The 25602-nt window shown below is 41.1% G+C and overlaps 1 protein-coding gene across 1 annotated transcript in view, besides 1 other annotated feature; it reads right to left on the reverse strand.

Annotated features, from left to right (window-relative positions):
- LGSN (lengsin, lens protein with glutamine synthetase domain) overlaps positions 1 to 25602 on the reverse strand; it is a 297657-nt gene that overhangs the window by 206061 nt on the left and 65994 nt on the right. The gene's annotated exons all lie outside the window — the stretch shown is intronic.
- Positions 22667 to 22806: an enhancer, noted in NCBI's record as "active region_24717". NCBI's record gives its function as "activates an Ori minimal core promoter by ATAC-STARR-seq in GM12878 lymphoblastoid cells {active_cell/tissue: GM12878}" and the evidence as "EXISTENCE:reporter gene assay evidence [ECO:0000049][PMID:35858748]".

Here is a 25602-nt window from a genome sequence, read left to right on the forward strand (position 1 = left end):
TTGTCTTCTGGCATGTTTATTCTGAATAATGGCCATTTATTTCCTATAAGATATAGTAATTCAACAGAACTCCATCCTTTAAATTCTCAGCCTTCTTTTCCTCTCACTTTGCCTATTTACACTTGACATATTATTTCTTTTTTTTTATTTAAATGTATATTTTCTCTCCCTCTCCCACACATACATATACACATGTTGGATGTAAGCTTCATGAGAACCTGAACTTTTAGTTCAAATTTCTATCTTCCCAACACCTAGATCATAGAGCAATTCCTGGCACATGGTAGGCAGCCAAAAAATATTTATTGAATAAGTAAATCAAGTCTTCTTTCCACTTGGATCCCTTCATTAGAGTAAAATACTCACTGAGTTTAAATCTAATAATCTTGTTGCCTAAGGCTGAGGAACTTTAGGTACTATCCAAAAAGGTTTATGGGCCAGGCACAGTAGCTCACGCCTATAATCCCAACATTTTGGGAGGCCAAGGCGGGTGGATTGCTTCAGACCAAGAGTTTGAGATCAGCCTGGGCAGCATAGCAAGACTCCATCTCTACTAAAAATACAAAAATCAGCCAGGCATGGTGGTGCACGCCTGTGGTCCCAGCTTCTCAGGAGAAGGCACGAGAATTGCTTGAACCCAGGAGGCAGAGGTTGCAATGAGCCGAAATCACACCAAAATCCATTCACTCTATTCTTTCTTTTTTTTGGAGACAGGATCTCACTATGTCACCCAGGCTGCAGTGCAGTGGCATTATCTTGGCTCGCTGCAACCTCCACCTTCCAGATTCAAGCGACTCTCCTGCCTTAGCCTTCCGAATAGCTGGGACTATAGGCGCGCACCACCATGCCCTGCTAACTTTTGTATTTTTAGTAGAGACGGGGTTTCGCCATGTTGGCCAGGCTGGTCTCGAACTCCTGGCCTCAAGTGATCTGCCCACGTTGGCCTCCCAAAGTGCCGGGATTACAGGCGTGAGCCACCATGCCTGACTTATTCTTTCAACAAATAATCTTTGACCACTTACTGCATGTCAGGCACTGTTCTCATTACTAAGACTAGAGAGTTAAACAAGCCAGATATGCATCTCTATTGGGAATGCTTTCAGCAGCCACTAACAGAATAGGCAATTAAAAGTAGCTAAACCATAGGGACATTCAGTGTTTACCTAGCAGAAATTTAGAGAAAGGCAACCCTTAGTTCAGCTTCTCTAAAATGTAACCAAAGGTCCAGATTCTGTCTTCTCTGTGTCCTTAGCATGCTGGCTTGTGTCTTTATTCTTTTCATCTCATTGTTCCATGGCTGTCATAGCTCTAAATACTTCATGGATTTCAAACTAGGGAGAAGTGGAAAAGGAAGCTCTTTTTTTTTTTTTTTGAGACAGAGTTTCACTTTGCCACCCAGGCTGGAGTGCAGTGGCCTGATCTGGGCTCACTGCAACCTCTGCTGCCCGGGTTCAAGCAATTCTCCTGCCTCAGCCTCCCGAGTAGCTGGGATTACAGGCATGCACCACCACGCCCGGCTAATTTTTTTGTGTGTTTTTAGTAGAGATGGGGTTTCACCATGTGCTGGGATTACAGGCATGAGCAACTGTGCCTGGCCAGAAGCTCTTTTCTTATTGTTTTCTGCATTAATCTTCTAGAGCTGCCATGACAAAATGTCACAGATGGGTGGCATGTCAGCAGGGTTGGTTTATTCTAATGGCTTTCCCATGGCTTATAGATGGCCATCTTCTCCCTATGTCTTTACATGGTCTTCCTTCTGTATCTCTCTCCAAATTTTCTCTTCTTTTTTCCTTTTTTTCTTTTCTTTTTCTTTTCTTTTTTTTTTAAGACAGGGTCTCACTCTGTCATCTACTCTGAGAATCTTTAAAGAAGTATCTCCAGTAGTCACATTCTGAGGTACTAGGGGTTAGCACTAATGAATTTGAGGGAGTACAGTTCAGCCCATAACATGCAATCAACTAGGTTTCCAAGTTAAAAAATGAAACATAAAAAATTACCCAGGCATGTGGGCAAGCACCTGTAGTCCTAGCTACTCAGGAGGCTGAGGTGGGAGGATTGCTTGAGCCCAGGAGTTCGAGGTTACAGTGAGCTATGATGGCACCACTGCACTCCAGCCTAGGCAACAGAGCAAGACTTTGTCTCAAAACAAAACAGAAAACTAATTCATGCACCACCAATCCATCCTAAAATAAATAGGCATCAAAAATCTGGGCAAGCACAATGGCTCACGCCTGTAATCCCAGCACTTTAGGAGGCCAAGAAGGGCAGATCACCTGAGGTCAGGAGTTGAAGACCAGCCTGAACAACATGGCAAAACCTGTCAAAACCCTGTCTCTACTAAAAATCAAAAATAATTTAAAAATAACCGAGTGTGGTGCCACACACATCTATAGTCCCAGCTACTCAGGAGACTGAGACAGGAGAATCACTTGAACCCAGGAGGTGGAGGTTGCAGTGAGCCAAGATAGCGCCACTACACTCCAGCCTAAGCAACAGAGCCAGACTCCGTCTCAAAAAAAAAGAAAAAAAATCCCAGAAGACTACCCAGATGTAAAGACCAATTGACAGCATTTAAGTAAAGATGTAGCAGACAAAAACACTAGAGAGCTTTACAAGAGTGCTTTGTCTTTTGCCAGTGGACAGGTTCAATCTAGTTTCAGATTGGCACTGCAGTTCTGCATTCTAGACCAAGGTACATATTAAAAGATGATTTACCACGCAAGAGAATATACCCAAAGCATTATACTGGCTCTGAGGTAAATAACTTCTGGACCAGTTGTGTCAGTAATACCTACTGTTATTGTGAGAATCAAAGTAGCAAGGTCCTTAGTAAGGAAGCCCTAAATTTGTTTCAGTATGTTAGAACCAAAGTGCTAAGTTAATGTGTCAGAATGTGGACACCCTGTATCTCCCCATCTTTCTCCCCAGTGAAACCTGCAAGTTTTAAAAGAAAGATTTAGATTTATTCTATGCATTTTATCCACTTTGTCTTGTTACTTAAAGACACTATTTGTTTTTTTTAGTTGTTTTTTTTTTTACCTTTTAAGTTCAGGGTTACATGCAGGTTTGTTACATAGGTAAACTTGTATCATGGGGGGTTGTACAGATTATTTCATCACCCAGGTATTAAGCCTAGTATCCATTAGTTATTTTTCCTGATCCTCTCCCTCCTCCCACCCTCTACCCTCCAATAGGCCCCAGTGTGTGTTGTTCCCCTCTATGTGTTCATGTCTTCCCATCATTTAGCTCCCACTTACAAGTGAGAACATGTGGCATTTGGTTTTCTGTTCCTGCATTAGTTTGCTAAGGATAATGGCCTCTAGCTCCATCCATGTCCCTGCAAAGGACATGATCTCATTCTTTTATATGGTTGCATAGTGTTCCATGGTGATATGTCCCACATTTTCTTTATCCAGTCTATCTTCGATGGGCATTTAGATTGATTTCATGTCTTTGCTATTGTGAATAGTGTTGCAATGAATATATGCGTACATGTGTCTTTATAATAAGCAATTTATATTCCTTTGAGCATATAGTCAGTAATGGTATTGCTGCGCCAAATTATATTTCTGGTTCTAGATTCTTGATGAATAGCCTCACTGCCTTCCACAATAGTTGAACTAATTTAGACTCCCACCAACAGTATATAAGAATTCATTTTTCTCCATGACCTCTCCAGCATCTGTTATTTTCAGAATGTGGACAGATTAAAATTGTGTTTCTTTTTCTTTTTTTGAGACAGAGTCTCACTCTGTCGCCTAGGCTGGAGTGCAGTGGCATGATCTCGGCTCACTGCAACCTCTGCCTCCCGGGTTCAAGTGAGTCTCCTGCCTCAGCCTCCTGAGTAGCTGGGACTATGGACACGCACCACCATGCCCAGCTAATTTTTTGTATTTTTAGTAGAGATGGGATTTCACCATGTTGGCCCGGCTGCTCTGAAACTCCTGACCTCAGGTGATCCACCTGTTTCAGCCTCCCAAAGTGCTGGGATTACAGGTGTGAGCCACCACACCCGGCTGAACATTGTTTGTAGAAGTTGATCAGGATCTCCTAATCAAAATAGTAACTTTGGTGATGGATGGATGAGAGGGAAATGCTCCTTAAGATAGCAGGAAGGCAATTATTGACAAAACTAATAAATTTGTACTTAAGACATTTATGAGTTTTAAAGTACTCATATACACATTAACCTAAATATCATTAATACTTTTACTAATATCTCTCACATGACTATGGACTCTCCTACAAAGTTGAAAGCATAGATAAGAATGGGAATTTGCCTTTCAGGTAAGGAACTCGTGATCAACATGTTTTTGGAGGTGAACATCCTACCTGTCAAGCAGCCAAAGAGATCCTGAACAGCAGTCACACGACAGCTGCTAGGTCAGTTTGCCAAACTTCCACAGATTCAGTCAGTAGGGAGACAATGAGCCCAAATGGATTTGTTCAGTTTATTCACATATTACACATGGCACAGCCAACAGCATGATCTTCATGTGCACATTGATTCCCTCTTGCCCCCAGGTCCCAGGGCAAAGATGCAGAGGTAGGCCCAGGCAGATGCTGCACACACAGTGGGTTTGTGTAACAGCTAACCCGATCTTTCAAAGGAGCTGCAGTAATATCCACTCATCCACCTCTATAGCTAAAGACATTGCCTTTATTTTCTTCTTTTTTTTTTTTTTTTTTTTGAGACGGAGTCTCACTCCATTGCCACAGCTGCAGTGCAGTGGTGTGATTATGGCTCACTGCAGCCTCAACCTCCCCAGGCTCCGGTGATCCCCCCACCTCAGTTTTTGTATGTTTATTTTATTATTATTATTATTATTATTATTATTATTTGAGAAAGAATCTTGCTGTGTTACCCAGGCTGGAGTGCAGTGGTGCAATCTTAGCTCACTGTAACCTCCACCTCCCGGGTTCCAGTGATTCTCCTACCTCAGCCTCCTGAGTAGCTGGGACTACAGGCATGAGCCACCACACCTGGCTAATTTTTGTATTTTTAGTAGAGATGGGGTTTCACCATGTTGGCCAGCTGGTCTCAAACTCCTGACTTCAAGTGATCCACCTGTTTCGGCCTCCCAAAGTGCTGGGATTACAGGTGTGAGCCACCGTGCCTGGCCTGTTTTTGTATTTTTAATAGAGATGGGGTTTCACCATATTGCCCAGATTGGTCTCGAACTCCTGGGCTCAAGCAATCCATTCTCCTTGGCCTCCCAAAGTGCTGGGATTACAGGCATGAGCTACCACACCCGGCCTGTCTTTATTATCTTGATCAGGAAACAAATCTGCCTTCTGACACAGAAAGAGATATTATCTTTATCACCTGGACTGTCTCCAAGGAGGGAGGGAAACTAGATTTATTAACCTGGAGTGTAAGTCAATCGGCTCCCTGCCCTACAGCAAACTTTGCAAATATTCTGTAACAAAGTTGTCAAGGCTTTTTGCTTGGAAGACATCCAAAAATGCCAAAATTATCTTTCAACACTACTCTTTAATATTTTTTGCTTTGATAACTCAAAAGCTAACCTGAATGTTAAGAGAACTCAAACTTGTCTTCTTGCATGGGCTTCAGGAGACAGATCCTTCTATCCAATCCTATGTATAATAATGAACACAGACGTCAGAGTTTTTCAGTGGTATAAATCCTCAAAATCCTGCATGGAGCCTTACAATAAATAAAACAGGGCTGAGCGTGGTTGCTCACGCCTGTAATCCCAACACTTTGGGAGGCCGAGGTGGGCGGATCACCTAAGGCCAGGATTTTGAGACCAGCCTGGCCAATGTGGTGAAACCCCATCTCTATTAAAAATGCAAATATTAGCCCAGCGTGGTAGTGGGCACCTGTAATTCCAGCTACTTGGGAGGCTGAGCAGGAGAATTGCTTGAACCGAAGAGATGGAGGTTGCAGTGAGCCGAGATCACGCCACTGCATTCCAGCCCGGGCAACAGAGCAAGACCCCATCTCAAAAAAATAAAAAATCTACTAGCTTTGAAGGCATTTAATTTTATAAACTCTTAACACTTCATAATCCTAAAATTGTGTGATCAGCTAACCAATACTGCACATCAGGGAAGTTTTTCCATATTAATAATATCCAGCTGCTTTTCTGACAAGATAAACTCACAATCATAAATATCCCAAGCAGAGACTAATTTCTCCTTAGGGAAGGGTCTGGGAGCTTGATATTGAGAATATACACCTTTTATCACAAATGATAATACCTACTACTGTGTTAAGTGCTCTAGATATATTATGTCATTTAGCTTAATTCTCATAACTGCTTTATTAGTTAAGCACTATTCTCCCTTTGCAAGTGAGAAAAGAGAAGGTCAGGCTGCTAGGTAATTTGCCCAGCATCCCACAGGTAGTAAGAGGCAGAGCTCAGGTTGATCGATCCCCTTTCCTGGACTCCTCAAAACTCTGCTCCATACCTTGATGAGCAGGAAGCCATTGTCATCACTTTTCCTGCCTTCCTTTCAGCCTTTTTCATGAAGGGAAATTCATCTCTTCATTTTCTTTGACCAATAAGCCCCCTACAGCTTTCTTTTCCCAATAATTGTCTGGAAGAATATGAGAATATATGGAATTAGAGGTGTGAATTTTCATTGTTATTACTCAAAAACAGTGTCTTCTGCAATTAAAAAAAGCAACTGATAGCTGGGCATGGTGGCAGGTGCCTGTAATCCCAGCTACTTGGGAGGCTGAGGCACATGAATCACTTAAACTGAGGAGGTAGAGGTTGCAGTGAGCCGAGATCACGCCACTGCACTCCAGCCTGGGCAACAAAGCAAGACTCCATCTCAGAGAAGAATAAAATAAAGTTTACCAAAAAAAAAAAAGCAAGTGAATTGGTAGAAGAAATTCCAAGAGTATTAAATCTTAACAAAATTTTGAACATACCAAATAATGTTTATCTTAAATTGATCACAGAATCTTTCTGGAAAGTCACTTGAAAATGAATTCTGTCCTCCAATTTTAAACTGGCAATCCATAACAAATAAATATAGCAGATATCAAAGCAGGTAAAATAATATTGAATTTTTGCTAAGGATCATGATAAAAAATTGATATACTACTAAGCAAAAATGCTTAATTTGTATTCTTTTTAAAATATAACCATTTTAGATGTGGGAAATGGGCCGTAAAAATCATAGAACACTTTAACTAAGCTAAATGAGTATTTTTGCTGTACGAAATTAGCTTTTCATGTAATTTATCCAATAAATACACAATGCTAAAGAGATAAGAGTAGCATTTATTATACAATTTAAATTTCTGCTGGAAGTATATCTAAATAGCCTGGAATAAGATTTCCTTTTAATTCAAAAGCTACTTGTCTGTATTTTATTGTATTTATTTATTTATTCTTTGGAGACAGGGTCTCACTCTGTTACTCAGGCTGGAGTGCAGTGGCACAATCTCAGCTCACCACAACCTTCACTTCCCAGGCTCAAGCAATTCTCATGCCTCAGCCTCTCAAGTAGCTGAGATTACAGGTGTGCACCACCACTACCTGGCTAATTTTTGTATTTTTAGAAGAGATGGGTTTTTACCTTGTTGGCCAGTCTGGTCTCAAACTCCTGACCTCAAATGATCCACACACCTTGGCCTCCCAAAGTGCTGGGATGGCTGGCGTAAGCCGCCACACCCGACCTGGATTTTATTTATTCATTTATTTATTTACTTATTTATTTATTTCTTTATTATTTTGAGATGGAGTCTCACTCTGCACCCAGGCTGGAGTGCAATGGCACAATCTTGGCTCACTGCAACCTCCGTCTCCTGGGTTCAAGTGATTCTCCTGGCTCTGCCTCCTGAGGAGTAACTGAGATTACAGACGCATGCCACCACAACCAGCTAATTTATGTGTTTTTAGTAGACACAGGGTTTTACCATGTTGGCCAGGCTGGTCTCGAACTCCTGACATCAGGTGATTCACTTGCCTCAGCCTCCCAAAGTGCTGATTACAGATGTGAGCTACTGCACCTGGCGCCTGTATTTTATTTTTAAAATATAGAAATAATTGAGAAAATGCTATCTATTTTAAATAAAATAACATTTCATTGAATTTACTCTATTACATAGGAAAAGAAAATACTCAAACACATGTGCAAAAGATTCAGTTAAAAGTAAACTATTTGGTTTGAAGTCTTTACACTGCTGCCAGAAGAGTACACTGCCTCTGTCCTTCTTCGAGTTAGATGACAATTGTATCTCTTCCTGCCTGTTTTCAGGTCATCCGTGTAAGGTTGAGAATAGATGGGTAACAGCAGAAACATTAAGAGGATTAGTTTCTAAATAAGAATGTATGATACCTACCTCCGTAAGTGAGTGGATCCTCTCTTGGAGAGATTGCCAACAGATGATGCCAACCTTATGATGACCAATCAAGCAAAAAACACAAGGAAATAAATTTCTTCCTCCAGATATTGAGCCTAAACTTAACCTTACCCTAACCAGAATTAGGAATTTTGCCACATGACATGGAGTGCATTAGCCAGAGTTCTCCAAAGAAACAGATCCAAAAGGTATCTATTTTATTTTATTTTTATTTTTTATTTATTATTATTATTATTTTTGAGACAGAGTCTCATTCTGTTTCCCAGGCTGGAGTGTAGTGGTGCAACTTCAGCTCACTGCAACCTCTGTCTCCCAGGCTGTAGCGATTCTCCTGCAGTCTCCCAAGTAGCTGGGATTACAGGCATGTGCCACCACGCCCGGCTACCAAAAGGGTATCATGCCTATGGAGGCTGAGAAGTCTCATGATCTGTCTGCAAGCTGGATGCACAGGAAAGCTGGTGCTTAAGTCCCATTCCAAGCCCAAAGGCCTGGGACCAACGGGAGCCAATGGTATAAGTCCCAGTTCAAGTATGAAAAAGTGCAGATATCCAAGGGCAGGAAAAGACAGACACCCCACTCAAGAAGAGACAGTGAATTCATCCTTCCTCAACCTTTTTTTTTTTGATTAGGGCCCTCAACGGGTTGAATGATGCCTGCCCACAGTGGTGAAGGTGGATCTTCTTTACTCAGTCTACTGATTCCAATGCTAAGCTCTTCTGAAACTACCCTCATACACACATTCAGAAATAATGTTTTACCAACTATCTGGCCCTTTCCCAGGGTAGGGTTAACCAGCACCTTTCTCTTCTCTATGGTGACCATGCTGATGAGGTGCCCCTGACTGAAAGCTGAGAGGTCACCAAGACCCCAGATCTTCCAGCACTTTAACCTGGAGTGTAAGTCAGTGTGCTCCCTGCCCTACAGCAATGCTTTTTGCTTGGAAGACATCCAAAAATGCCAAAATTGGCATTAATCACCACTTCAGGGCTGGGCACTTATGAGGTCAGCCATCCACTTCTAGCAATTCCTGCGTAAGCTGGAAGACCCTAGGTCTTTTCCTCAAAACACACCAAAGCCAAATTCTAAAGGAGATCCAAAGGTGATCGGTAAAATCCTTGAGAATCCTCCCAAAGCCTCCATGGAAAAATAAACTGGAGAACTGTTTCTCTTTTTCAATCAAATTTAGGCCAGTTATAATGAAATATGAATGGGCAGAAGACACAAAAGAAGATTAAAGAGTCTTTTAACATATAATAAATAATCAATAACTTCCTGGGTATGGTACAGGGATGTCTTTCTAATTGCAATAGATGAGTTTCTGATAAATTGCCTATAAACTGAATTTCTGCAAGTGCCATGTGCTAGTGTGGTTTCACTATAAATTCACATATGTGGCCGGGCGCGGTGGCTCACGCCTGTAATCCCAGCACTCTGGGAGGCCGAGGCGGGCGGATCTCCTGAGGTCAGAAGTTCAAGACCAGCCTGGCCATGGTGAAACCCCGTCTCTACTAAAAATACAAAAAATTAGCCGGGCGTAGTGGTGTGTGCCTGTAATCCCATCTACTCGGGAGGCTGAGGCAGGAGAATCGCTTGAACCCGGGAGGCGGAAGTTGCAGTGAGCCAAGATGACGCCATTGCACTCCAGCCTGGGCAACAAGAGTGAAACTCCATCTCAAAAAAAAAAAAAAAAAATTAACGTATGTTTTACTGTCATTCTGGTTCTACTTCAAATTATACGAGCATCATTTTCACAACTTTTTCCTTCTTCTTCATTCTACTTTATGTTCTTTCTCCTAACCAAATATGTTCAAACTTCCTAAAACATCTATTTTGTAAATGCAGGCATGTGCATAACTTCCTTAAATCAGGACACACCTATCTATGCACTGAGTAGAAAGGCTAATAAGTTCAAAGTGGTCTCAATAAATGTGTTGCCAGCCATCCTGTCCTTTCTGCAGCTGTTATATAAGCTTATACTACCTTTAATTTATTAGTCTAGGACAAATTAATTGCATGGTTTCCACAAAATAGGACATGTTGTTCATAGTAACTATATGCTAATTCCTTTGAAAACATCCGTAATTATACAGTGACTTCACAACACTTGTGCACCTAACTGTTGTTACATGTTTAAAGCTATGAGTGAATTAAACATCAAGGCAGAGTTCTGACTGGGTTCATGCATAAAAGGACACTTTTCTATCTTAACTCTGTTTCCTAAGACCTTACATCTTTATTAAGGCTAGTGGGTGTGCACACGGCCCTGCTGAGGTAGGAGGGATTGCAGCAGCAGCCTTGACATTTAAGGCAACCACACAAAGACAGCAAAGCTTTTCCAGGCACAGAACAGCATGTACTCGAGGAAGACAATATCAATGGTTGCCCAGTAAATACACATCTATATAAAGTTCAGTAAACACACAGGTGTAGGTGTAATGGCTTAAATTTTACATCTAAATCCAACTTTAAAATCACACTTCAGGCTGAGTACTTTTGAGAAATGATTGCACTTTTAAAGATATTCGAAGTTATATGGCTTACAGGATTCTGTCTCATAAAGCTGAGAAAGAAATGTCATTTTTGCCTGAAGTGCTGATTTGGCTTTGAACTTCACATTTTACAGACTATTCTGCTTTGGGTTATGTTTGTAGATGTGAACACCATTGGTACTCTTTATTAACATTTCTCCAATGTCTTATTGCCCCCTCTTTCCTCTCCCCAAATCTCTTCCTCAACCCTTCCAGGTCTGATAAGACAAAATATATTTTGTCACCCCATTATTTTTTCCTGAATGTCTGCTTTGGTTAGCTGCTTCAACATGAAGGACTCTATCTGTTAGGAGAATTAGGTCACAAAGACCCCGGGTTGGTTTAAAACAAAATGAAAAGTGCTTTCATTGTAAAACTACAAGGAAGTAAAGGAAATGCAAATGTGTTAAAAGCAATGAATTTGCAGAGCACAGATTTCTTAACAAAATTTAATGAAATGTAATCAGCCATCTGACTCAGCTTATAGGTGACAAAAGTCCATTTTCTTTCCCTTTTCCCAAACTCTTCAGGTCAGATGGAAGAAATGTTCCTTAGATTTCAACTCCAACAGTTTGAGGTTGGCATCTCAGCAGGACTGTCCAGATGTTCAGTTTAAAGAATTTAATTTTCTAGAATTTAATTCAGGTTTGGAAACTTTTAGGCTATCCTAGGAAACACTGAGTTATTGTGTCCATCAGATCTTGGGTCTCTGTTGTTGACAAAAGGCAAAACCTGCATGGAGAGGAGATATTCCTCCCTTGACCTTCCCAGTACCATGACTATAGATTCCTCAACCATCTCTTCCTGGCCCGTTTATGTAAAGCCAAATCATGAGCCTATTTGTCTGACACTTCTAAGCCCCATGAATGATCACTCTCTGATTCAGGTATCAGTTCTTTGATGATTCATCCTCAAGCATCCCCTGGGAATGACTTCTGAAGCTTTATAAACTATGACTTTATAAAACCAAAATTGCTTTTCAAAAGTTGATTCAATTTTCAAAAATCAAGGAGGTGAATCATTGTATCTCAGGTGCCCTTGGAACAGAAAGAAAGAAGAAATCATTTCTTTTTTTTTTTTTTTTGAGACGGAGTCTTGCTCTGTCGCCCAGGCTGGAGTGCAGTGGCTCAATCTTGGCTCACTGCAACCTCTGCCTCCCGGGTTCAAGTGATTCTCCTGCCTCAGCCTCCCAAGTAGCTGGGATTACAGGCATGTGCCACCGTGTCCGGCTAATTTTTGTATTTTTAGTAGAGATGAGGTTTCACCATGTTGGCCAAGCTGGTCTCGAATTTCTGACCTCAGGTGATCCGCCCGCCTCAGCCTCCTAAAGTGCTGAGATTACAGGCATGAACCACCACGCCCAGCCAGAAGAAATTATTTCTATGGCTCCTTGGATCCCCATATTTACTCCAAAGCAGCAGCCTATAGCAGCTTATCATTATAAGTCTTATGTGTTCACTCTTAATATAAAATATATAAGCAGAATAGACATATTATATGTAACATGTAATATGTATATATACACATATGCAATAGAGGAGTAAGAGTGCCAAGAAATAAAGATAAATAATGAAACATGAGAAGAATATGTGTCTCTATAATTTTGTGGCTCAAATTTCTGATTTTAATTACAGATTCATATTTGAAGGTCTTTGAGAATTGGCATTTTACCAATTACTGAAAGGCACATTATCTAATTTCTAAAGAAGAATAGCATCTGAAAATTTTAAAGCACTCTATTCTACTTCTTTTTATTCTTTTAGACACAGGGACTTACTCTGTTGCCCAGGCTGGATTCAAACTCTTGAGCTCACACAATCCTCCCCCATGAACCCAGCTGTTCTGTTTCTAAAGAAATGGTGTGCCATAGGCAAAACTTTTACCTTGCTATATCTCTGTTGTATTTTCACAGTCCGTAGATTCTAAGTTTTATTATTTCATTTAGAGTGTGATGACAAATACTTGACGTTCCACTAAATTAGATAATATCAGTAGAACAATGTTCCGAAACAAGATACTTACTGGAAAGACATTGGCTAATATTTTCAGTGTTAATTCCTATATTTATAAGTTTAAATCTCTTACTTTAGTAAATATTAAAATACCATGCATTTTATGCCTTTGAGGGTGAGGGTAGAAAGTTTTCATTGTCTATTAACCTATATAATAACACATTTAATTCACTGTCCACTATTGACACAGCACTGTACTAGATACTCTATAAATTATAGATTTTATAGATTATTATAGATTTTTCACATACCAGAAGTTCTATAAAACACAGTTATTTTTATAATTTATGTTTATTGAGCACTTACAAATGCCAGATTTTGCATAAGGGTTCACATGAATTATATCATTCAATCCCACATTAACCCAAAAAAGTATTATTTTTTCCTCATTTTCTAGATGAGGAAATGAGGCTGAGAGAAGCTGAGCAACTTTTCCTCTCACAGTTAGCAAGTAGCAGAGAAGAGATCCTTCTGCCCCCGGAGCCTATGCACTAATACTCTGCTGTAGATCCAGTCCCTCTTCTCAAAGATACTTAAATCTTCTTTCTTTTTTTCTTTTTCTTTTTTTTTTTTTTTTTTTTGAGATGGAGTCTCAGTCTGTAGCACAGGCTGGAGTGCAGTGGTGAGATCTCAGCGCTCTGCCTCCCTGGTTCAAGCAATTCTCCTGCCTCAGCCTCCCTAGTACCTGAGATTACAGGCATGCACCACCATGCCTTGCTAATTTTTGTATTTTTAGTGGAGACAGGATTTTACCATGTTGACCAGGCTGGTCTTGAACTCCTGGCCTCAAGAGATCTGCCCGTCTTAGCCTACCAAAGTGCCGGGATTATAGGCGTGAGCCACCATGCCTGGTCTCAAAGATACTTAAATCTAATGAGGGGATTAGTATAAGGATCAAGAGAAAATTTAATAAATACTGCATAAGCCTGGAAAAAATGCATACTAATTCTTATAGCAATAAAGGATGACATGAATGTTTGTAAATGGAACACTCACATGTAATGTCTTAGACTCCTCTTGTATTAATTAATTAATTTTTTTAAAAAAAAAAGACAGAGTCTCACTCTATCACTCAGGCTGGAGTGCAGTGGTGTGATCTTGGCTTACCGCAACCTCTGCCTCCCGGGTTCAAGCAATTCTCCTGCCTCAGCCTCCCTAGTAGCTGAGATGACAGGTGACTGCCACCACACCTGGCTAATTTTGTATTTTTAGTAAAGATGGGATTTCACATGTTGGCCAGGCTGGTCTCGAACTCCTTACCTCAGGTGATCTGCCCGCCTTGGCCTCGCAAAGTGCTGGGATTACAGGCGTGAGCCACAGTGTCCAGCCCTCTTGTGTTAATTTATAAGGCTATTTAACTCATATTGTTCTGTAGCATTTTCCATGTATATTAGTCCCTTCCTCAGCTAGATTTTGACCTTACTGATGGCAGACTATATTTTCTATTTTAAGAGTTTGCCATAGCCACTAGGACAATGACACACACATAATAAGTGCTTTATAAATATTTGTGGAGTGCATGAATGACGGAATTATAGGCAATTAAGACAAGGTTGCATATAGCTGTGTGGCATCGCTATACACAAGGGAGTGGCAATAACTTAAGTGAGATAGCAAAGGCCTGGATAAGATAAAAAAGAAATAGATTCAGGAAGTGGGTTATAAAATAGGCAACAGTTATAAAGTGTTTATTATTTGAAGTAACTTTAGAGGTATTTGCTCCTTTTTTTTTTTTTTTGAGACAGTGCAGTGGTGCAATTATAGATTACTATAACCTTGAACTTCTGAGCTCAGCCATCCTCCCATCTCAGCCTCCCAAAGTGCTGAGATTACAAGCATGAGTCACCATGCCCAGCCTACTCTTTACAACAACAATCCTATGAGGTAGGTACTACTATCATCCCTACTTTATAGATGAAATGCAAATAGATAAATAATTTAACATCACCCAGCCAGGAAGTGGTTGTGTCAAAAGCTCATGCAGTTTTGTTCTGCCCTTGCCTGTATAGGATCCAAAGATAGTCTGAGCAACCACATGGATGTTAAGAGTACAAGACAACAAAGATTTGAAGGTTACAACAAAAATCCTTGATTGAAATATGTTTTTATTTTTATTTTTTAGTGATAGGGTCTCACTCCATTGTCCTCACTATTTAATCTCAAACTCCTGGGCTCAAGCAATCCTCCTGCCTCAGCCTCCCAAGTAGCTAGGACTACAGGCACACATCTCCACACCTGGCTAATTTTTTTAAAACATTTTTTGTCGAGATGGGGTATTGTTATGTTGCACAGAATGGTCTCAAACTCCTGGCCTCAAGCGAGGCCTCAGCCTCCCAAAGTGGTGGGATTACAGGCATGATTAAAATATTAGGGCTGAGTGCAGTAGCTCACTCCTGTAATCCCTGCACTTTGGGAGGCCAAGGCGGGCGGATCACCTGAGGCCAGGAGTTCGAGACCAGCCTGACCAACATGGTGAAAGCCCGTCTCTACTAACAATACAAAAATTAGCCAGGCTGGGTGGCAGGCACCTGTAATCCCCGCTATTCAGGAGGCTGAGTGAGGCAGGAGAATCACTTGAACCCGCGAGGTGGAGGTTGCAGTGAGCCGAGATCATGCCACTGCACTCCAGCCTGGGTGGCAGAGCGAGACTCCGTCTCACATAAAATAAAAGAAAATAATATTAGAAAGTTATAACATTGCCCAACACTAAGAGAAAGTTGGCATAGGAAAGGCATAGAGGGAAAATAAGCAGTTGCGCTATTTTTTCCACATTCAGCTTGAGTGGCCACAGGAGTCATTTTAGGAAAGGAGGACTACAGAAAACTGACCTGGGGAGAGTTGAATGACAACAACAAATCATTTTATAGCCCTTTATATTTTATGGGAATTATGATTAGTGAGATAGTTGACATAAATTCTATGTTCAATGGCTGACCTAGCATAGTTAATTCTCTTCCCACATATGAAGTTATCTGAGAAATTATTTCCTTGTTCTTCACAGTTCTATAGATTTGTCATGTTTCTTTTTTTTTTTTTTCTTGAGACAGAGTTTTGCTCTTGCTGCCAAGGCTGGAGTGCAATGACACAACCTCAGCTCACTGCAATCTCTGCCTCCCGGGTTCAAGCGATTCTCTTGCCTCAGCCTCCCGAGTAGCTGGGATTACAGGCATGCACCACTACACCCGGCTAATTTTGTATTTTTAGTAGAGACAGGGTTTCTCTATGCTGGCCAGGCTGGTCTCGAACTCCTGACCTCAGGTGATCCACCCGTCTTGGCCTCCCAAATTGCTGGGATTACAGACGTGAGCCACCGCATCCCACCTTGTCATGTTTCTTATTTGAAGAGGAAAACACAGACTGAAAGTTTTAATGATTTGCCAAAAGTATCTCACCTGATCAGATGTTCAAACAGGTCGAAGCCTGATTTTCTGGCTCCTTCTTGTGAGGCAGATTTCAGTTTTAAAAAAACCTGGTCAGAGCAACCTTGCCTGCCCCAACCCATTATTCCCTATCTCATCTCTATTGTCATTTGTAACAGAGCACTCATGCCAGGAGCTTATCTCTACCTTCCATTTTCTATTGGCTCCCATTGGAACATAAGCTTTATGAAAGCAGAATCTGGGATCAGTCTTGTTCTCCGATCTTCACCTACACAATGTCTGGCAAGTAGTAGGCAGTCAAGGTTTGCTGTAGTCATGACAGAAACCCAAAACCCAAAACTTGTCATGTTATCAAAGGTAGTGGACACAATGCTTGAACAAGGACAGGACAGTGAAGCAATGTTTTCATGTGGTTTCTCCCTGTTACATTGTTCTGTCGGTGAGACAAGTGCTCATTTACAGGAGTTCATGTGGGTAGGGAATGAAAGAGAACAGGAATTAATTGAGGAACTTTATGGGAAACTCTTCCCAACAATGAAAAGTGGTATTGGGTTGATTAACGCAGGGAAGACTATAGGGTAACCAAAGAGATGTAGAAAGCAAACCCGATGGTGGAAGTATACCAAAAGGCCATTTGGTACTTACCTGAGCTTACATGGAATTTATTAATGTATTATTAGCACCCACCTAAAGCACGTACTTTTTAAAACTCTACATTAAATTATCATATTGATGGTTTCCCAAATCCTACATTCTTTAGGAATTTAGAAAAATGTATAAAAGTCAAGTGAATCTGCTTTGTGTATACATTGTTTATGTGATGATTTTTACCAATTCCAAAGTAAATCAGTTCTGGTTTGCTTGCTTGGTTAGTGACCTGTTTAAGCCTTGTATAACATCTATAATATACAGAATTTTTCATTAAACACTCAAACCTAATCATTTTTACATTAATGTGTGGACATACATGGCCTCCCATTGGAAGAGAACCTTGGAAATTTTGATAAAAGCTGAACAGAGTGCAAGAAAAAGTATAGTACAGTCACTGGTTTCTGTGCCAGCTCTGCTAGTTCTACTAGTGAGCAGCTGTGTTACCTCAAATAAGCAACACTGTGCTCAACTCTGTAAAATGGGAAGAGTAATCCCTAATTCATAGATTGTTATATATTAGATTCCTGAAAAGTTGTCCGGTTGCTATGGGTGGGGCTTTAAGAGTTTTTCAATCCCTTTTATTTCCTCATAGTAGGTTCTTTGGATAATAGAGAAGAAAATCTCGCTTTTTGTAGCATTTGAATAAGAGATAGTTCTTTCCTGCTTCAGGTGCATAAAAATCTTCATAACTGCAGCAGCAATTTCCAGTTCAGCGCAATCTCCAAATATGGGTTTTTCTCTGTACATCACCTATGGAACACCTGATAATGTGTTTTATGTCGTTAAAAGCCTTCTGCTGTAGGATACCTTTAGGCTCTATGCAGCCTGAACAATCCAACCCCTCTTGAGCTCAAGAGGTGAACAGAGTAGAGTGCAAGGTTGTATTTGGAATTAGCAGCAAGGTGGGATTTGGTTAGGTCTATATGTCCAATTTACATTAAGTCTAGGAGTAGAAACCAAATATCAGAGACTCATGCAACCATATGTCAAATTCCCCAGCTTTCTGAGCTCCTTATTTAACAATCCAGGTAATGACAACTCAAGTTTCCATAATTCCATACATTTCTGAGGGTGCTTCAAGTTCTTAGACATCTCTCTGTCTGAAAGAGGCATATTCCTCAAGCTCACACTGCTGTTATCATCCCCTCAGGTAGCCATCCTGCTCCAATCCCCTCAGCTCACTTTAATAAGCTTCTCCTGGCCAGTATTGTCTGCCCAAATTTTTCTCATAAGTGTTAACAGAGGCCCCTCCCTTAACTCACAAAGCAGAGCTAAAGCCAAGCTACAGCATTTAACAGAACTTACTGAAAACTTGAGGTTATGAAGGAGAAGTATAATGGAAAAAAAAAAGATTATAATCTCATAGAGTAGCCATCACTGCTCCAAAGAAGGCAATGGTCAAGAGCACTGGCTTAAGAAGTGGACAGCTGGGGTGAGAATCCTTGCTTCTCTGCTTCATGTCTGAGTGACCTCTGACAGGTTTATTTTTATTTTTAATTAATTTTTTTTTTTGAGACGGAGTTTCACTCTTGTTGCCCAGGCTGGAGTGCAATGGTGTGATCTCAGCTCACTGCAACCTCTGCTTCCTGGGTTCAAGTGATTCTCCTGCCTCAGCCTCCCAGGTAGCTGGGATTGCAGGCATGCACCACCACGCCTGGCTAATTTTGTATTTTTAGTAGGGATAGGGTTGCTCCATGTTGGTCAGGCTGGTTTCAAACTCCCGACCTCAGGTGATCCACCCGCCTCGGCCTCCCAAAATGCTGGGATTACAGGCGTGAGCCATCACACCTGGCAATTAGTTATTTTTTTTTTCTTTTTTGAGACAGAGTCTCACTCTGTCACCCAGGCTGGAGTGCAGTGATGCAATCTCCACTCACTGCAACCTCTGCTTCCTGGGCTCAAGTGATTCTCCTGCCTTAGCCTATTGAGTAACTGGGATTAGAGGCACGTGCCACCAGGCCTGGCTAATTTTTATATTTTTAGTAGAGAAGGGATTTTGCCATGTTGGCCAGGCTGGTCTCAAACTCCTGACCCCAAGTGATCTGGCCCGGCTCAGCCTCCCAAAGTGTTGGGATTACAGGCGTGAGCCACTGTGCCTGACTGACAGGTTATTTCAAATCTGTGAGGGCTTTGCTTTTTTAAAAAAGGAAAAAATGAGAGGAAGACTGGGCCTGGTGGCTCATGCCTATAGTCCCAGCACTTTGGGAGGCTGAGGCGGGTGGATCACCTGAGATCAGGAGTTCGAGACTACCCTGGCCAAAATGGTGAAACCCCGTCTCTATTAAAAATACAAAAAATTAGCCAGGCGTAGTGTAGTCCCAGCTACTGGGGATGTTGAGGCAGGGGAATTGCTTGAACCCAGGAGGCGGAGGTTGCAGTGAGCCGAGATTGTACCATTGCACTCTAGCCTGGGCGACAAGAACAAAACTTCGTCTCAAAAAAAAAAAAAAAATTAGAGGAGAAGCCATTGTCACTACCCCTTGCCTTTTCTTGTCTTCATTATAGAAGTGATGCATAGAGCTATGGCATCTATTTTGAGACTATAAAGCAACAAATAAATATGCTATGTATGGCTGAATATAAAAATAAAAACAAACTGCATCCTTGATGAACTTACGGAGTCATTAGACAACAGCCCTGAAACCAGCTGCTGTCTAATGTGAAAAAAAAAAAGCGCTTGTTGTTTAAGTAATTGTTGGATTTTTTCCATTATTTGCAGCTAAAAGCACTCCTAACAAATATAACAAAGTAGTGACATGACCATATTTTTCAAGAAAATGCTTCTTAAGGGAGATCCTGCTGTTCTTGGATCTTTTAAGAAGATCCTAGGGCTATATGTAGAATTAGATCACTAACAGAACATTACTGTAAATGTTCTTTCTTTTATAGAGATGGGGTCTCATTCTGTTGCCCAGGCTAGAGTGCAGTGGCACGATCACAGGTAACTGCATCCTCAAACTCCCAGTTTAAGCAATCCTCCCACCTCAGCCTCCCAAGTCACTGGGACTATAGGCACACACCACCACATCCAGCTATTTTCTTTTCAGTTTTGTATAGAAGACAGGGTCTTGCTGTGTTGCCCAGGCTGGTCTTGAACTCCTGGGCTCAAGTGATTTTCCCACTTTGGCCTCCCAAAATGTTGGGATTACAGGCATGAGTCCCTGTGCCTGGCCCAGTGTAAGTTTTCTATGATGAGTACAGTTTGGGTTGCAAATTCATAATCACACAGACATCAGATTCAGAGGGAGCCTTAACCACCTCAAGATAAGAGGAAATACTTTGGAAATACTTCAGAACCTTTTCTCCTTAGATTGAGTTAACTATCTATTAGAGAAGTGTTGTCTCTTCTGAGAAAAAGCAGAGGGTGAAGTCTAGGATAATCACCACATCATAATCCATTCAGTCTTTTCCTTATGCCAACTGCTTACCTGCTAGGGCAATAATTCTCAAAGTGCTTCTGTAATAAAGGTTAAGATACCTGATATACTATGACTCATTCTATTTTACATAATTTCTGTGAGAATGAACAGGGAAAAAATGGTAGGGAAAAAAATGAGCCTTCATTTTCACCACCAAAAAAGTGCATTAAAAAGAAAGTTAATATAATATATTAAGTCTGTTGATAGAGGGTTATACCTGATGATCGTTCAGGATAATGATACAGATGGAATGTGACAAGCAATTAGGTCTTCACTTTTTCTTTAATATGATTTATCAAGATACTCTTCCCACATAAAAGTCATCAATGTTGCTGAACCTTCTAAAAGAGAAAAACGAGTAAATCCTGAAATTTGGATCCTATTAAATCTCATCTGACTAAGCTCTCTGTACAATTCTCACTTCTGGGAGGATTCAAGTCAAATCAAGTTTCGTAGCTTTGAAATTTCATCCCTCTGCATGCAATACTACAGACTTAGCCAGAAAAGTTGTGAGATCTGAATAATAAGGAGCAAGTAGTAATTAGAAAATAATTCCAGCTAGAAGACGATCTATGCTCTATGCTCATCAGTAAGAATCTATGAATTAATTAATCAATCGATGTCAGATATTTTTTTAAATACCTATCACCTAATTTATATTTTTTGCCATAAGAAAATTCTCAAAAATATATTTTCTAATTTTTTTGTTCAATGTTATCTTCTTTTTTCCAGTTTCCACTTTTCTTCTCTATAAAATTATTGTATTCATCATGAGTAAATTTTTTTCTGCAGGCTTTAAAAAAATGTTTAAATAATCAACTATGACATTACTTCTAGCTATGGTCTCATACTGTTTACCTTGTAGCTATAAAGTCCATTTTTCTTTAAACTGCCTAATTTGTAAGATATAACTTATGAATGAGTCAGAGTTCTATAGATACAGACAACAGAAAGAGGCTCTAGTTCATTTATGGAAAGGAAACTTACTGAAATATATCAGACTTCATCGCCTGGAAGTAAGGCTAGAGAACCAGACTTTGAAATGTGCTGATCCAAGGTATTCGCAGTGGTCCAGGATCTGGAGATCACAAGAATGGCTTCACGTTGACAAAATCCAGGACTCGCCCCGGAATAGATTAATCCTCTCTTTAATCCTCTACCCAAGATTTAAATTCCAGAGAGTAGGTGTCTGATTGGCCTGGTTTCAACCATATATTCAGACTTGGGCTAAGAAAGTATAGGTCTGCTGAGTAAAAGTCCACCAGGCTGAATCCAAAATGGTAACAAGGCCAGGCACAGCGGCTCATGCCTGTAATCCCAGCACTCTGGGAGGGCGAGGCTGGTGGATTGCTTGAGCCCAGGAGTTTGAGACCAGCCTGGGCAACATGGTGAAACCCCGCCTCTACTAAAAATACAAAAAATTAGCCGGGGACAGTGGCACCTGCCTCTAGTCTCAGCTACTCAGGAGGCTGAGGTGGGAGAATCACCAGAGCCTGAGGGGTCAAGGCTGCAGTGAGCCAAGATCACCCCACTGCACTCCAGCCTGGACAACCAGAGTGAGACCCTGTCTCAAAAAAACCAAAACAACAACAACAATGACAAATATATAAAAATTTATATGCAAATAGTAACAACAATAATAATAAAATTATAATTCCCTCTAAAAGAAATGTGATGTTATTAGGAAAGAGAAATGAATGCTGAACAGTCACACATTAAAGATGCTCAATACACCATCCTTAACCATTTTTTTTATAAATACCTCACCTATTTTCAACCCATATTTAATAAAATAAAAATCTTTTTTTTTGAAACAGAGTTTTGTTCTTGTCACTCAGGCTGGAGTGCAGTGGCGATCTCGGCTCACTGAAGCCTCTTCCTCCCTGGTTCAAGCGATTCTTTTTTTTTTTTTTTGAGACAGAGTCTCGCTCTGTTGCCCAGGCTGGAGTGCAGTGGTGCAATCTCGGCTCACTGCAAGCTCCGCCTCCCACGTTCACACCATTCTCCTGCCTCAGCCTCCCGAGTAACTGAGACTACAGGTGCCCACCACCACGCCCAGCTAATTTTTTGTATTTTAGTAGAGACAGGATTTCACAGTGTTAGCCAGGCTGGTCTCGAACTCCTGACCTAGTGATCCACCAGCCTTGGCCTCCCAAAGTGCTGGGATTACAGGCGTGAGCCACTGCACCCAGCCTCAAGTGATTCTTGTGCCTCAGCCTCCCGAGTAGCTGGGATTACAGGCGTGCACCACCATGCCCGTCTAATTTTTTGAATTTTTAATAGAGACAGGGTTTTGCCACGTTGCTGAGGCTGATCTCAAATTCCTGTCCTCATGTGATCCACCCACCTCGGTGTCCCAAAGTGCTGGGATTACAGGTGTGAGCCACCACACTCAGCTGAAAATCATTTTTTATGACCATTCTGAAAACCCAAGAAGCTCCTTATCAATGCTTGATAATTGCAGTCACTGAAATACAGAAAGGACTAAGTGGATTTTATTCAAGCTGAGAGTTCAGAGTAGTGAAAAGCTCTTAGTGGTTCTTTAAGAATTTTCTCCCCATTTCTGAGTGGCAATACCATCAGCTGGCCTGATGAGAAAGTGGTTTGTCACACATTCTTTTGAGTCATAGTGAAAGGCATGATGGTGTCACCTAAAATTAGTAGATTAGCTATGCTTCATTTCTCATCTACACCAGGAACTGGTAAGGTTATCACCATGACCATGGCATTCCTTTTCTTCTTTATTGTCCTATATTGGCTAGAAAGCCCACCTCATCCTACATTTTGACCTTCCCTCTGCTTCCTCATTCCTGTTAGTAACTTGCTTTTTTTTTTTTTAACGTTATTGATATCTCCTCATCCACCCCCATTTTCTATCAAGCATTATAAAGTGAAGCCAAGGAATTATATGCTTTTCCTCATCTCTTTAGTTAAGAAATTCTAAAGTAAAGCCGGGCGTAGTGTCTCACATCTGTAATCCCAGCACTTTGGGAGGCTGAGGTGGGTGGATCACCTTGAGGTCAGGAGTTCAAGGCCAGCCTGGTCAACATAGTGAAACCCCGTCTCTACTAAAAATACAAAAATTAGCCAGGTGTGGCGGCACATACCTGTAGTCCCAGCTACTCGGGAGGATGAGGCAGGAAAATTTCTTGAACCCAGGAGGTGGAGGTTGCAGTGAGCCAAGAGCAGGACAGAGCAAGAATCTGTCAAAAAAAAAAAAAAAGAAAGAAAGAAAGAAAGAAAGAAAGAAAGAAAGAAAGAAAGAAAGAAAGAAAGAAAGAAAGAAAGAAATTCTGGCATTCTTTTTTGTTTTGTTTTGTTTTGTTTTGTTTTGTTTTTTGTTTCGCTCTGTCGCCCAGGCCAAAGTGCAATGGCACAGTCTCGGCTCACTGCAACCTCTTCCTTCCGAGTTCAAGCAATTCTTCTGCCTCAACCTCCCAAGTAGCTGGGACTATAGGTGTGCACCACCACGCCCGGCTAATTTTTGTATTTTTAGTCAAGACAGGGTTTCACCATAGTGGCCAGTCTGGTCTCAAACTCCTGACCGTCCACCTCATCCTCCCAAAGTGCTGGGATTACAGGCATGAGCCACTGCGCCCAGCCGTCATATTTTATTTGTAATGGGACACAGGGTATCTTCGAAGTCCTTAAAAAGAGATGTGCCAAATGTTAAACTGAGGGAGGCAGTTTTCAGTTGTTTAACTTTAGACTCATCAGGAGTAGAGTGGAAGAAATACTTTGAAAGTTATTTACATTCTTTGCTTAGGTTTTTGACATAGTGAATGGTATCTAGAAAAAGTCAAATTCAATCTTTTGGGTAGTTTTAAATAAAATAAAAATTTTGATTACATATTGATTTTTCTCATGGAAAGGAGATAAGTTCTTCTTGTTGTTGTTGGTGGTGGTGGTGTTGTTGTTGTTGTTGTTGTTGTTGTTTGAGACAAGTCTCGCACTGTCACCCAGGCTGGAGTGCAATGGTGGGATCTCGGATCTCTGCAACCTCCACCTCCCAGGTTCAAGTGATTCTCCTGCCTCAGCCTCCCAAGTAGCTGGGATTACAGGTGCCCACCACCACGCCCGGCTAATTTTTTGTGTTTTTAGCAGAGACGAGGTTTCACTGTGTTGGCCAGGCTGGTCTCGAACTCCTGACCTCGTGATCCACCCTCCTTGGCCTCCCAAAGTGCTGGGATTACAGGCATGAGCCACTGTGCCCAGCTCTTCTTGTTTTGTTGATGACACAATTTCCTTATTCATTCTGTTCACAAACAGGTTTCTATCTCTGATTGCTAACCCAGTTATTTTATAAATGGTTAACCTAGTAGAAGGATTTTAAGAGAACGGGCATACATGAAAGTTATCAAAAATAATTTGAACAAGCTTCTCTTCATTTTCTTCCCAAAATAAGAAAAATGGTCATAAAAACAGCTTGAGCTACCACTGAACATATATTGTTGCTCTGGTAAAGCATGTGTAATTTGGTTAGGGAGTCTGGTTTGCCCACAAATATCTCACTGAACATCTCAGAGAAGTTGATTTCCCTCAAAACAGAGCCTGAGACAAAAGTTCACGTGACACTATCTTACTAGTATCCCTGCAATCCCAGGGAAGCAGGAGTGAGGGAGTAGAAGAATGAGGAAGGGAAGATGGGAGAGCCAATATGAGGATGCCTTACCCCGACAAACCAGCCAAGACATTCCCACCTTCCCCAGGGTCCCCATGTATCTATACAAAGTACATTTCTCTCTCCATACCAAGTGAATGACCATTCGCACTACTCATAACATTGCCTGCCTGGAGAGAGGATTTCTTTTCACAACTGTCCCTCCGTCCTTGAGTGGAACTATAATGTGGTGGCAATTTACTTTCCACTATCGCTAATGTACTGTGAGAATTCATGTGTAAACTGGGCCAAGTTATTTCTTATTCCATCACTTAGTCAGAAGGGGGCACTTACTCCCCTCCCTTCATGAGGCCCAAGTGTGAGTTAAGGGAGGGTTATTGGTGCTACAGAGACAGATGACCTGAAAGTTTGAGATACATGTGCATATAATTCATTCATACCTTTTGAATATGGTCAAGCTGGATGCATATGTTTCATTTATATCATAAGTCTAATGATACACCCATCCAAACTTATCACTTACTGTATCTGATAACATCCTGATGAGTAGATCTAGTTGCATAGTCACCTGGTGTTCCACAATCAGGAACAGTTTCTATTAGAATCCAGTAAAATATCCAAAGCCAGTTTTCATATGAGACCATTCT

The sequence above is a fragment of the Homo sapiens genome, chromosome 6, assembly GCF_000001405.40.
Source record: "Homo sapiens chromosome 6, GRCh38.p14 Primary Assembly".
NCBI classification, from domain to species: domain Eukaryota; kingdom Metazoa; phylum Chordata; class Mammalia; order Primates; family Hominidae; genus Homo; species Homo sapiens.